Source organism: Homo sapiens, chromosome 12, assembly GCF_000001405.40.
Source record: "Homo sapiens chromosome 12, GRCh38.p14 Primary Assembly".
NCBI lineage: Eukaryota > Metazoa > Chordata > Mammalia > Primates > Hominidae > Homo > Homo sapiens.
This window is the reverse complement of record NC_000012.12, coordinates 31,316,749-31,329,064: the sequence shown is the minus strand read 5'-3', so window position 1 is coordinate 31,329,064 and position 12,316 is coordinate 31,316,749. Positions and strand designations below refer to the sequence as shown.

At 44.5% G+C, this 12,316-nt stretch overlaps 1 protein-coding gene and 1 long non-coding RNA gene across 7 annotated transcripts in view, besides 1 other annotated feature; one reads left to right on the top strand and one right to left on the bottom strand.

The window, feature by feature from the left end:
- Positions 2,895–3,826: an enhancer, noted in NCBI's record as "NANOG-H3K27ac-H3K4me1 hESC enhancer chr12:31478173-31479104 (GRCh37/hg19 assembly coordinates)". NCBI's record gives its function as "activates a minimal SCP1, AML or CMV promoter by ChIP-STARR-seq in naive H9 embryonic stem cells {active_cell/tissue: H9 hESC(naive)}" and the evidence as "EXISTENCE:reporter gene assay evidence [ECO:0000049][PMID:30033119]".
- SINHCAF (SIN3-HDAC complex associated factor) overlaps positions 2,915–12,316 on the top strand; it is a 45,567-nt gene continuing 36,165 nt past the window's right edge. For 3 of the 6 annotated variants that reach the window (NM_001135812.2, NM_021238.3, NM_001135811.2), the window contains exon 1: positions 2,915–3,041. The gene's annotated coding sequence lies outside the window, so the exon portion shown is untranslated. Of the gene's footprint in view, positions 3,042–3,160; positions 3,230–4,905; positions 5,122–12,316 lie in introns of those variants that run through there. The other 3 variants (XM_017019762.3, XM_047429272.1, XM_011520803.3) reach the window with 2 other exon arrangements.
- On the bottom strand, positions 3,120–4,749 carry FLJ13224 (uncharacterized LOC79857). The gene has a single exon (NR_026806.1). It is a non-coding gene; the product is annotated as an uncharacterized LOC79857 (long non-coding RNA).

Below are 12,316 nucleotides of genomic sequence, written 5' to 3'. Positions count from 1 at the left end.
TCATAAGGACAGGGCTGGCATATCAACCAATGTGACCACTATAACTTCCAAACTCATTTTAGGTCAAATGCAAAAATTGTAAACTAAAGTTCTGATTAGCGATAAACCTGTAAGAACCTTGAAAATGTCCATTAATTTTTTAAAATTATATTTATATATTTATTATTATTATTATTATTTTGAGACAGAGTTTAGCTCTTGTTGCCCAGGCTGGAGTGCAATGGCTTGATCTCTCGGCTCACCACAACCTCTGTCTCCTGGATTCAAGGGATTCTCCTGCCTCAGCCTCCCAAGTAGCTAGGATTATAGGCATGTGCCACCACGCCCGGCTAATTTTGCATTTTTGGTAGAGACGGGGTTTCTCCATGTTGGTCAGGCTGCTCTCAAACTCCCTACCTCAGGTAATTCACCCACATTGGCCTCCCAAAGTGCTGTGATTACAGGCGTGAGGCACTTCGCCTGGCCATTATTATTATTTTTTGAGACAAGAGTTTCACTCCGTCACCCAGGCTGGAGTGCAGTAGTGCGATTTCGGCTCACTGCAACCTCAGCCTCCCAGATTGAAGTGATTCTTGTGCCTTAGCCTCCCAAGTAGCTGGAATTACAGGTCTGTGCGAAAATGCCCAGCTAATTTATATATTTATTATATATATATATATATATTTTTTTTTTTTTTTTGAGACAGAGTCTTGCTCTATTGTCCAGGCTGGAGTGCAGTGGCGTGATCTTGGCTCACTGCAACCTCCGCCTCTCGGGTTCAGGCAATTCTCCTGCCTCAGCCTCCTGAGTAGCTAGGATTACAGGCATGTGCCACCACATCTCAGCCTCTCGAGTTGCAGGGATTACAGGTGAGTGCCACCATGCCCCACTAATTTTTGTATTTTTAGTAGAGACAGGGTTTCACTATGTTGGCCAGGCTGGTCTTGAACTCCTGACCTCAGGTGATCCACTTGCCTTGGCTTCCCAAAGTGCTGGGATTACAGGGGTGAGCCACCATGCCCGGCTAATTTTTATATTTTTAGCAGAGGCAGGTTTTCACCATGTTGGCCAGGCTGGTCTCGAACTCCTGACCTCATGTGATCTGCCTGCCTTGGCCTCCCAAAGTGCTAGGATTACAGGTGTGAGGCGCTGTGCCCAGCCGTTTATTACATTAAAAAAAAATTTTCCTAGCCAACTAATGCATGCAAGATGTCAGTATATATTATCTGATGTGCACTGTGTCAGGCACTGGAATACAAAGATGGGTAAGAAAGGCATAAAATCCTTGTCTTTAAGGAGCTCATATTTTAATGAGAGGTGTCCTTTTTCTTTCTGTTTTTTGTTTTTGTTTTTGTTTTTGTTTTGAGACAGTCTTGCTCTGTCGCCCAGGCTGGGGTGCAGTGGCGCAATCTCTGCTCACTGCAACCTCCGCCTCCCAGGTTCAAGCGATTCTCCTGCCTCAGGCTCCCGAATAGCTGGGATTACAGGTGCCCACCACCACGCCAGGCTATCTTTTCAGGTATTTATAATATAGTTTTCATATACAGTTACAGGAATAGTATGTTACAGAACCTAAAGAAAAATAAAGAAGTATTAGTTGAGGAGTTCAGAAGTGGGTTTATACTGTATGTACTAGGAATTGCCTGTTGAATTAAATTAACATTTCAGAAGTAACTATTTAAATCTGTATTGTTGACACTGCAGTGAAAGCAGCGAAACGTGTCAGCAGATGATTAAGTTTTATGGTTGATTTTCACACTTTTGTAACTTGGGACCAATATCAAGTTTCTGGGAAAAACATCCTTCCTCTCTCCCCACCCTCTATCATTAACCCCGGGTTTCTGCCTGTTGGTGTTAAGTGTGTCCTTGGGACAAAGGCGAATCAATCATTCGGTTTTCATTTTCCTCTTATCAATCTGAGAAGAGTTACTTCAGTTTTTTTCTTCCGGAGTCTAGAAAGCGCTTAGATTGTTGAATTATTACATATTCTGCATTGAAAAGTCTGTACGTCACTCGTTATTTTTTCCATTCCCAAGACCACCAGTTACTGGAATTATTTCTGGGTGAGTGGAACACCCTTTACAAGCTGCTAGAGGAGGTATGCCTGTCCCTAGGTTATTGGCTTTCCAATGCCTAGTCTTTTAAAGAAAGCGGCACTGTTCCCACGGAAATTAACAATCATTCAATTCGGAGAGACTTGAAATCTTAAGGCCGAAGTGGAGGAAAAAACTGGATTGTTATGGGTTGGGTTACTATTTGAGAAGGGCAAGCGGGAGTTAGCGAATGGCTAGGGTGTTAAAATGGGACTTTATTAAACGACTCATTACAACTGCACAAAAACTAAACCTTTGCTGGCCCCAGAGGATTTTTTTTTTACAAGCTTCAAAAACCTAACTTCAAACAAAATTTAGGAAACGTGGGATTAGTATAAATTCAGTCTGGGTGCTTACAAGACCACCTCCTCTGTCACCGACAGTGGGGACAGGTGTGAGAATTTTGCAAAAGCAGCTTTCAGAACAATTTTTCAGCGCTCAATGGTGCCCCTAACAACTTCGGGGGCGGAAAACACGCCAAGCAGCGCAGCCCTCCCCTCAGTTGCTAACCTTTCCCTTTCCCACCTCGCCTCTCCCTCTCCGCCGCGGCCTGCAGCCGGGGGGGGGGGCGTTTGTTTATGTGACGTCCGCCGTAGTAAGCAGTCCCCGCCCCCGTTTCCCTCTGGCCGCCGCGTTTCCCGCGCCGCGGAGCTTCTCCCCTTAAAAGGACAATAGAGGCCTCGGGAGCGCGCGCGGTCGCCGGGACTTCTCCCCCTCCCAGCCCGCAACGTGCGCGCGCCCGTATGCAAATAAGTTCGATTCAAGAGAATTTTGTGCCGGGAGCCGCGCGTGCGCAGAGGGAAAGCGGAATCTACACCTTCCCGGCCAGCGGTAGCAACTGCAGAACTGCAGGAGACTATCTTTCTAGACAAGGCAGTTGAGGAGGAGGGAGCGCTTGAGGGGGACTGGCCTGGCGTGCACTCCGCACCTCGGGGACATTATTGCGCGTGGAACGGCTGCTTTTGGAAGGTGAGTGACTCTCACCATGCTTCTAGTGCAAAACTGTCTCACGAGGCTTTGATTTCAGTGTTTTTTTTTTTCTCTTTTCACCTCCACCCACCTCCCCCCGTCCTTCCACATACACACAGGAAGTTTTGTCTTGGAGGTGGCATTGTTGGGAGCGCTGTTTTCGTGATCTTCAGACCCCAGGTTCTTTGGTACGCTCGTGTTTAGTGTGTATTTATTAATTGGGGAGGGTATTTGAGGCAAACCGAAAGTCTCGGGGCGGGGAAGTGAGTGGAGCCTGGGCATAATTGAGGAGTCGCCGGAGTTGAGGGATCCACGTTGAAGGTGACAATGACTTTTCTCCGCCGCAGTGTTCTCTCGCGGAAAGGAGCCCGGCGGCCGAAAGGCCCGAGAGGAAAGCGACTCGTTGGCCACCGCGCAGCGGCCGGGGTCGGTGCGTCCGCGTGGGCGCGAGGCGCGGGCAGGGTCGGGCGCCGTTGTGAAACCTCGTGGTTTAGTTGACTGCAGCCCTCGGACTAGGGTGGACAATAAACGCCATTCGCTCGGAAACTAAGTTGCCATCCGCTTCCGAGCTGGCGGCCGAGGGTCTTTAAATCGGCCTTTGGGGGTCAGTGCTGGGCTCTGCCGGAGCGCACGCGGCGTGGCGTTGTTTGCTCAACTCCGGAGGGATGCGGATGCGACAATGAGAGCAACACGCGGTCGCTTAAAAACAGCCCGTCTTCCACTCGCCTGCCCTCTTCGGACCGCGCCCAAGAGCCTCTGGTGTCCGGGGTGCTTTCGGAGCCCGAAGTTTTGCTCCCGGTGCGTTCACCTGTAGCGTAGGTGTGGGCGACACCGCGAGGGCTTCCCGTTTATGGGCGGCCGTCCGCGCTGTAAGATGGCCAGGGAAGCCAACTTGGCTGGAGATGGAGGCGGCGGCGTTGTGTACGCCGCGGGAGTCAGTGAACTCCGCAGGGCACTGCTTTTTGTGCTCTACGTGACAGACCACGTGCTTCGGGCTGCGACCCTGGTCCTTGTCCGAATGTCCAGCCCCGCGTGAGCCGTGGGATGCGGCCGCCGTCGGGCAGGTCCGGCCGGCAGGACAATGTGGTTTGCTGATGATGGCGTCTTGCCAGTTTAAAAAGCAGAGTGAAAGTCGCCAACTCTCCGCCCGTGCGGGGCGGATACTCCGGGCGTTTCTCATCAAGGACACTGCAAAACTTTGATTAAATGGGCCTGCTCCCGAGGGGAGGGTCGGGGGGCCAGGCTCCGGACTCTTCGGGGCGCGGGGTCCGGACCCCTACCCAGGGTGATCGTCCAGTGTCCGGCCCCTGCGAAACGCTCCGACATCCCTGATGCTGCACGTAGGCAGCGCCCGGCTGGACAGAAAACAAAGGGCTGCATGTGCCCGTGCGGGCCCCCGGCGCTCGGGGCCGCCGCCTGGGCGTAGGGCCGTGCAGGTCGGAGGCCCTCGAAGTTCGGGCGAGTTTCGGGAGGGGCTTTTGTCCCTCAGCCCCCTCGTGGGGAAACTTTGGCGGCGCTACTTGTGCGAGGTGCCATGCTGGTGCGTAGGGAGGCGGCGTGCTTCCCCGCTCCGGGCGTGCGGGCGGGCGACCGAGGGAGGCGGCAGTGCCCGGCGCTTCAGCCCTGGCGTCGGGGGTTGCGACGGCCGAGGGTTCCGGGGAGCTTGGCCCGGACTGCTCGGCCGGTTTCTCGTGGCCCGGGAGCCTGTGTCTGGGAGGTCTGTGGGTTCGCCTTTGAAGTCGAACTGTTGCCATGTTTGAATTACGTCAGGGCAAAGCCATGAGGAGGAACAAGCCCCGGCAGCGCGGCGTGCGGGAGGCGCGGCCTGCGGGAGGCGCCGGGCCGGGCTGGCGCGGGGCCCGTTGTTCCGGCGCAGGTGAGGGAGGTGGCGGCGAGCGACGCGGTTCACCTCCCGCTGCCCTCGCCCTCGCCCCGGCGAGCGGCCCCCGCAGGAACTTTCCTCCCGACGCGAGATGTCTTATTTACCAACAAATCCACCAGGGAGCATTCTTACTTGCTGGCTCGGCGTCTCTCTCGGCAGTCACCGGAGTGCCCGAGGGGGAAGCACGATTTACGGAAGGTGGGGACCCGAGGGCCCTGGGAGGAGCGGGGAGGCATTTTACTGCTTTCAGAGAAACGGGTGAGGGCGGCGAGCACCTCCTCCCCAGCCGAGCTGTGGCCCGCAAGTCCAGGGGACCCAGCCCCGACGACGCCCGATAAACCACCGTGGGGAAGTTCCGGGGCTCCCTGTTGCCCTACTAAGGGAAGTGAGGACTGTGGGCGAATTGTGCGTGCGGCCAGTTTCTTTGTGTGTTTCTAGGGGGTGGGGGGAGCGGGGAAGGGCAAGGTTTGTTTTGGTGTAGGGGGAGTTGGTTTCTTGAGGTGGTAGGGCGGTGCAGTTTGTTCTGGTAACTATGACCCTAGTCAGTTTCTTTGTTTTTATTTTCTTCCTGTAACCTTCCATTACTTCAGGCACTCGGAAGATTAGGATTTACTCTTGAGTTAAACAGGGACCCTATCCGAGACAGTTTTACCCCAGCAATTCTTTCTCCCCCTTCTTAAGTTGTCCTAAGGAGGGTTAAGAAAAGCTTTTCTTTTTCTTTTAATAATTTAAAAATGAATTTGACCTTGTTATTCAGAGTACGCTGAAAGCACCTGTTTTTGAACTGGAATTTGCCAGACTTGAAAAGCCTTTTAAAATTTTATGTCGCAAAATTGAACACATTTAGTTGCCCAATCTAAAAGTCTGGGAGTTTGTTTCTGGTGGAGTTTCGGAGAAAACCCTCATGGCATTTAAAGTATTTATATAATGATTTTGGGAAGGGGGATCTTTTTTAGGCGAAAGGTATGCGTGACTCAGTGTTTGGTGGTTATTCAGTGCCTTAGGATGACCTTGAAGAAGCAAATGTTTAGGGAGTTGGGCCTTTTGGAAACATTGTAAGGAGGCTGGGGAGCTGGCTGGGGAGGAAGCTGCTCAGGAAGATGACACAGGGTAACGGCTAGCTTCTTCCCAGATCCCGTGAACTGTGGTTGACCTTCTGGTTACCTCTCCTAGATTTTTCTTTTCAAGCTAACCTTTTCTTTTTTTGTATGTGGCCCCAGGCATAGCTCAAAAATTATGCTGGTTTGACACATGGATGCTTCTTTGGTATTTGGGGTTTGCCTGTAGTCTAGACATCCGATACCCACCACCATATCTGTTGCTTCTTTCCTGATTTCTCCTGCATTTGAATCATGTGTAAGGCCTAGAATCTAAGTGATCATTACTAGGAAATAATACCCTTGAATGCCCCTGCCCCCACACACCTAAAAATCGATACTAGTTGAAATCCATTTTTTTTCATTATTTTGTTATTAATAAACCTATTTTTCCCAAGTTTTGGTTGACCAAATTACAATACCAAAAGGCAACCTATATTAGTACATTTCTGTAGTAAATAGAAAGAGCATGTCAGGAAAATGAAAAACTTTGGACCTATTTTTCCCAAGTTTTGGTTGACCAAATTACAATACCAAAAGGCAACCTATATTAGTACATTTCTGTATTAAATAGAAAGAGCATGTCAAGAAAATGAAAAACTTTGGATTTAATAACTTTGGCTTTCCTTTCGCAGCTATTTCTCTGGGTCCTGTATTTAAAATGCATATGAGGTGCTTTGCAAATACGCTGAGATTGTTTGAGTTGTTTTTCTTAATTAGTATTTCATAGCTAAGTTATGGCTAGAATTTCCATTTCCTAGCAGATTTCATATACTACATACAGAGCTTAATGGTTTTTGTTTTACTAATTAGATGATGTAAAACAGAGATTTGGATTATCAATGTGAATGAATTCAGGGTGGGAAAGACCCACAGACAAGGTCTCTACTGCCTTCTCTTTGTATTGCTTTTGTGGGAGGTTGGAGATACGAAGTTCAATTGGTAGAATATTCTAGATCACTGGTGGACAGCAGGCCCCAAGTCTGTCTGTCCTTGCACAGTATTCTTAATTCTGTATATCTGGAACCTGAATGGTCAATTTTTTTTTTTTTCCCCCAGAGTGGTTATCAAGTCCTGGGAAATCCTGACTCATAGGGCTCAAACTCAGACATATTTATGTCAGAGAAGCAATTTAAGAACCATTTTACATGTAAAATAAAAGTTTTTCACTGGGGAAAGCATAAACTTTTAAATCTAAACCAACTATACAGGGCTCTTATGAGGATAAATTAATCAATTTACCATGCCAGGCACATAGTAGGTTGCTTTAAAAGTATGTCATTTTCGTTTTTTCTTAAGAGATGGTAGGAATATAATTGGTTGAGCAGAAAAGGAACACATGTATTGAGGCACGAAGTTTTGCTGTTCAGAGGTTTCTGGGTTAGTAATGCTTGGGTTTCAAAGCTGTCATCATCTTATAGTCACTTTGTGATCCAGTTTTTTTCATCTGTAAAATGGTAGTAATACCTATTTTAAATAAGTTGTAATTAAGCCAGTGACATGATTGATAAATATTAGCTGTGTTGTCCTCACAACACTGGGAAGTAGACATTTTACAGAAGATAAAACTGAGGCCTGTGTCAGTTATCGTTTCTGGGGAAACATTAAGTAAATTTTTAGTGGAAAGAATGAGTGTCTTTGGTCCCCTCCCTTACCTTAAGAAAGCAGTTCTGGGAAGACACTGCCCTTGACTCTTGGTTGTCTTTTCAATTCTGATTCAACCATTTTACATCAGAAAGTCCTGCGGAAACCTGGAAAATGTCATTTTTCTTTCTTCCTGATTTCTCTTGTCCACAAGATTGTCTTGTATTTCCCACACTTAAGTTTTGATTTTGGGGTGTTATAAATTGAGACTTTTTTGTTGTCTTTTGTTTCTCCAGTTTTTTATTGAATCTGCAACTAGGATTTTTCTGTATTATGGAAATAATCTGGAAATGTCATCTAGTCCAAAAAGGGAGTTTGTTTTCAAGGTAGGGAGGTTTTCTCTTTGCCTCAGAAATACTAATGTCACAGGTACACCGCTGTTACATATTCAAGTATGAAAGTTACAGTTGAACTAAAAGAATTTATTTCTAGCTTTGTATTTAGTTGTTTTCCACCTATTATAAGTTTGGTTTGGCTTACTGTTATTTTAATTTGGTAAATGTTAACTGTGCTGAGTTGAAGTAGCTCTCATTTCTCATTTCTCCCCACACTAGTCTAATTTCCTTCCCCCTGCTCCTGCTTGAAATAAGCAAGAAACATTTTTTCCTATAGCTTTTAAAACCTCAGGTTTTTTTTCCTGCAAAAGTCTATAGACCAAATGTTAAAAAAAGACTCCTTTTTAAAAACATTAAAAATATTTCTATGATCAATAGTGCAAACAATGACTCCTTTCAAAACATTAGTTTTTAAAATTCACGTCTTTATTGTAGACACCATTTCCCATTCCATGCCCTTAAATATACTGTTTATATTAATCTTGGCTGCCCCACTCTTTGAGTAGTTAGCAAATTCTACCCGTTTCTGTGTACTATGTACAGCCAGCACCTGGTTGTAATACAAGACTTAGTTTCTGCTCTACAGCGGTTTACTATTGAGTAGAGGAGATAATGCAGTAAACAAGAAGTGAAATCTTATGTGGTAGGTGTTCTAATAAAGGTATGGAAGGGTTTTGTAAAATAAGTAATTCTTAAGAGAATTTCCCAGGTCAAGGGGATAGAGGGTAAGCCGTCTCAGGCAGAAATAACAGCCTGAGTAGAGGGTGGCTAGTTATTAAAGTTTGTTTGACACTCCTAGAATATCAGAATTCCAAGTTGGGAGCAGCTGGTAGGCAGGAGCAGATCCTGAAAAGCTTTGAATTCCTTGCCAAGGAGTTTAGATACTATCATGAAGCCAGTGTTGGTACCTTGGAAGGGAAGATTAGTAGTTGAACTTTAGGAAGATATCACATGTTTAAAGGATGTAGGGAAGTCAGTTACAAGGTTCTGACAGGAGTTCATGCACCATGATGAGGAACAAACAGGCAGTGGGGATGGAAGTGAAGGAAGAAACAGAATTTCTAAGGACTTCACAATAAATTTGATGGAGGGCCATGCAGAGGGTGAAGGAAGAGCTCAGTTGGCTTCCAAGTTGTTTTTGTGTGACTGTGGATGACAACCAAGATAGGTAAATAGAGGAAGAGCAGATTTGGAGGGAAGATTATATAATCAATTCTCAGGGTATTTAAAGATTGGAATGGATTGGTGGTCAGTTGGCCATATTTATCCTAGAGCTAAGGGGAGAGATTGGACCAGGGAATGAATAATAGGTATTACCAATAAGGTTGGTTAGTAACTTCCTGCGAGTGGATTGCCCAAAGACAGAAAGCAAAATGATACCTGAAATGTAAGAGGAAAAAAAGAGAGAAAGAAGAAAGATTGGTGAGTAAAAAGAATTGTCAGAGCTGAGTGCATACCTTGTGCCGATCTTTGTGTTGATGTTGTGTTGATGCTTTACAGATACTATTCAGGAGATTTGGATTTGTCATTATTATTTTGAGACTGAGCTTTGCTCTTGTTGCCTAAACTGGAGTTCAGTGGTGCGATCTTGGCTCACTGCAACCTCTGCCTCTGGGTTCAGGCAATTCTCCTGCCTCAGCCTCCTGAGTAGCTGGGATTACAGGCGCACGCCACCAGGCTGGGCTAATTTTTTGTATTTTTAGTAGAAACGGTGTTTCACCATGTTAGCCAGACTGGTCTCGAACTCCTGACCAGGTGATCCACCTGCCTCTGCCTCCCATAGTGCTGGGATTACAGGCGTGAGCCACTGTGCCCGGCCTGTCATTATTTTATAGATGAGGAAACAGGATTAGTGAGGTTAAGGAACTTTCCTGAGGTTTGGGTCAAATCAGGTGTGTATACTATCATGTATCCATTTTCTTAACATTTTTCTCAAGTTTGAAAATGGGAGAACAGCTTCATAGAGGAGTATATGGGGCTTTTCATGACCTTAAAGTCTCCCTGAAAAGGCTAAGTTCCTCTTTTCCCACAGACCTGGGCTTAAAAGAAAATCTTTAGTAATCAGAATTTTACCTTCAGTTAAATTTGTTGTATATATCTTGGGATAGATAGCATTTATTTTTCTGTAATGTGCAACTCTTATAAATTCAAGGAAATAAACAGAATTTCCCAATGTTACAGAAGGGCAAATAAAATTAGGAGTGACTTCCTATTTAGTTGTAAAGACAGAAGCAGAAATATACTCCAAATTGACTCATTGCAGACCCAAGTATGGTTATATTTTCTAACTCATAATCATCCATTAAAAGCAAATAAATATTCTTTCTGACACTTTCAGTTTTTTTTTTCATGTACTGGAATTCCTCTTAATCTAGAATTGGGAGACCTAGTTTTGTTTCTCTTTTTTTTTTTTTCGCTCTACCAAAATTGGAGGGGCCTGGTGTTTTACACTATCTAAAGCCCAGAGACTTGAATTTGTAATTTTATTTTTAACCTATGCCATTTCAGTTGAAGACTTGTTTATTTCTGAGTTTGACCTCTTTCCTATATAGGATGAGTTTTAGGCTCTTCTGCCAAGTGTGGATTCCATAGACAGCCACAGTTATAAATGCTTTACCATATAATTTCTCAGAGACAGGGCACATGTTTGAAGAGGCTGTTGGCAAACAAGTGGGGTCTGCTACCCCTTTCTCAGTTTTATTCTAGACAGATTTACATTTATCCCTTAAAGTTAGCTAAATTCAGGAATTTTGCTGAGATGTAGGCTGCTATCTAGAAGCAGGTAAGAGGAAATAATGTCTTACTGCTCCATGGGTTTCCTTAACTGCAGATGAAACATGTCTCATTATTGGGGAATACTGCAGCCAAATAGCCTAGCCGCGGGAGAATACAAAGCATTTAGTCCTGTTGACCGTTTGTGAAAAGTGTTGCTCCAGTTACACTGTTAGTGTTTACTGGATGCTGTACTTAAATGTGATTAATGATAGCATATGATTGACTAAAATGGTGTCAGTGGTGGCATTACCAATTACAGGAACTCAAGTATCCCCACAGTTTGTGATCGCGAGTATTTTTTCGTGTTATTTCTTTTCCTTTCCCATCATCATGATTTCTAGTTTGGCTCTAAAGAAATGCATCTCCTTCACTTCAAAGTTGTCTTTGGTTGCTTAGTTCTTTTTGTCTTTGTTCACTGCTGCTTCCTTCCCACTTTACAAATCTTTCGCTTGTCTCCTGTCTGCAGTTTCCTTCCCATTCTGCTCTGTGTGTATTTAGATCTTACCAGTCTATTTCGTAGTCTCTCCCATGGAGTGTATTTTCTAATTTGTATCTCTCCATCTGTATGTCTTTGAGGAAGTTTATTTAAGCTCTCTGTGCTTTTTTAGATTACTCTTAAGGTGTGTCTTGATAACCAAGGTTATTGGAGAGTGATGCTCTTGGTTAAAAAAAAAAAAGCAGGAGGTAGTAAAGTGAAAGTAAGCTTCTTTTATGCTTGTACTCCTCAGAGGCAACCACTATTTACTATTTTTAAGAACCAATTTAAAAAGAAGTTTGTGTAGTTACAGTCTCATTTTAAAAACATCCTGTGAGATTATACTGTATTACTACTGTTCAACTTGCTTTAAAGGTTGAAACAGCGTGCTGTGGTGTTTCAACCATAATTTAACCAGTCTGAAAATTCGTTGACATTTAAGTCACTTCAACTATCTTGTGTTTTTTTTTTGTTTTTAAAGACTTAGGCCAGTTGATTTTTAGAAAGAAAAAAATGATAATTAGAAGCTAGGGTTTTGGTTTATTGGAAACTTAAGGATAGTTTCATTTGGGAGGTTGTTCCCCTAATTTGTGCATATCAGAATTTCAGTTCCCAAGATGACTTGGACAGTTGTGAAGTTAACTGTTATTTACCACGTTTGACTATTGCTCTCAATTTTCTTCCATCTAGTCCACCCAGTGGTATTACTGAGTTTTGAAAGGTACTTTTGAATATTAAAAAACGCTTTACTTCTGAATATATAAAAAAGCCAGAAGAAGGAATCTAGAAAGTGGAATTGGGGAAGTTAGAGTAAATAATGATGTCCTTCAAAGCATGCATGCCAACTAAGGTGAACTTAACATATGTTAAATTCATCGTAATAAGAACCCTCTCCATATCCTTAAATGTGAGTTAACACCCTTATAAAGATTTAAAAAGACAAGAAAATAGTTGAATTAAATTCATCACCTTTTCTCTGTCTCCTATTCCATATTAAAAAGGGTACTAAAGCTCTAAAATTTGCATTTCAGTATTTTTCATTCTGTTTCCTGGTTGGAGCTTAAAAT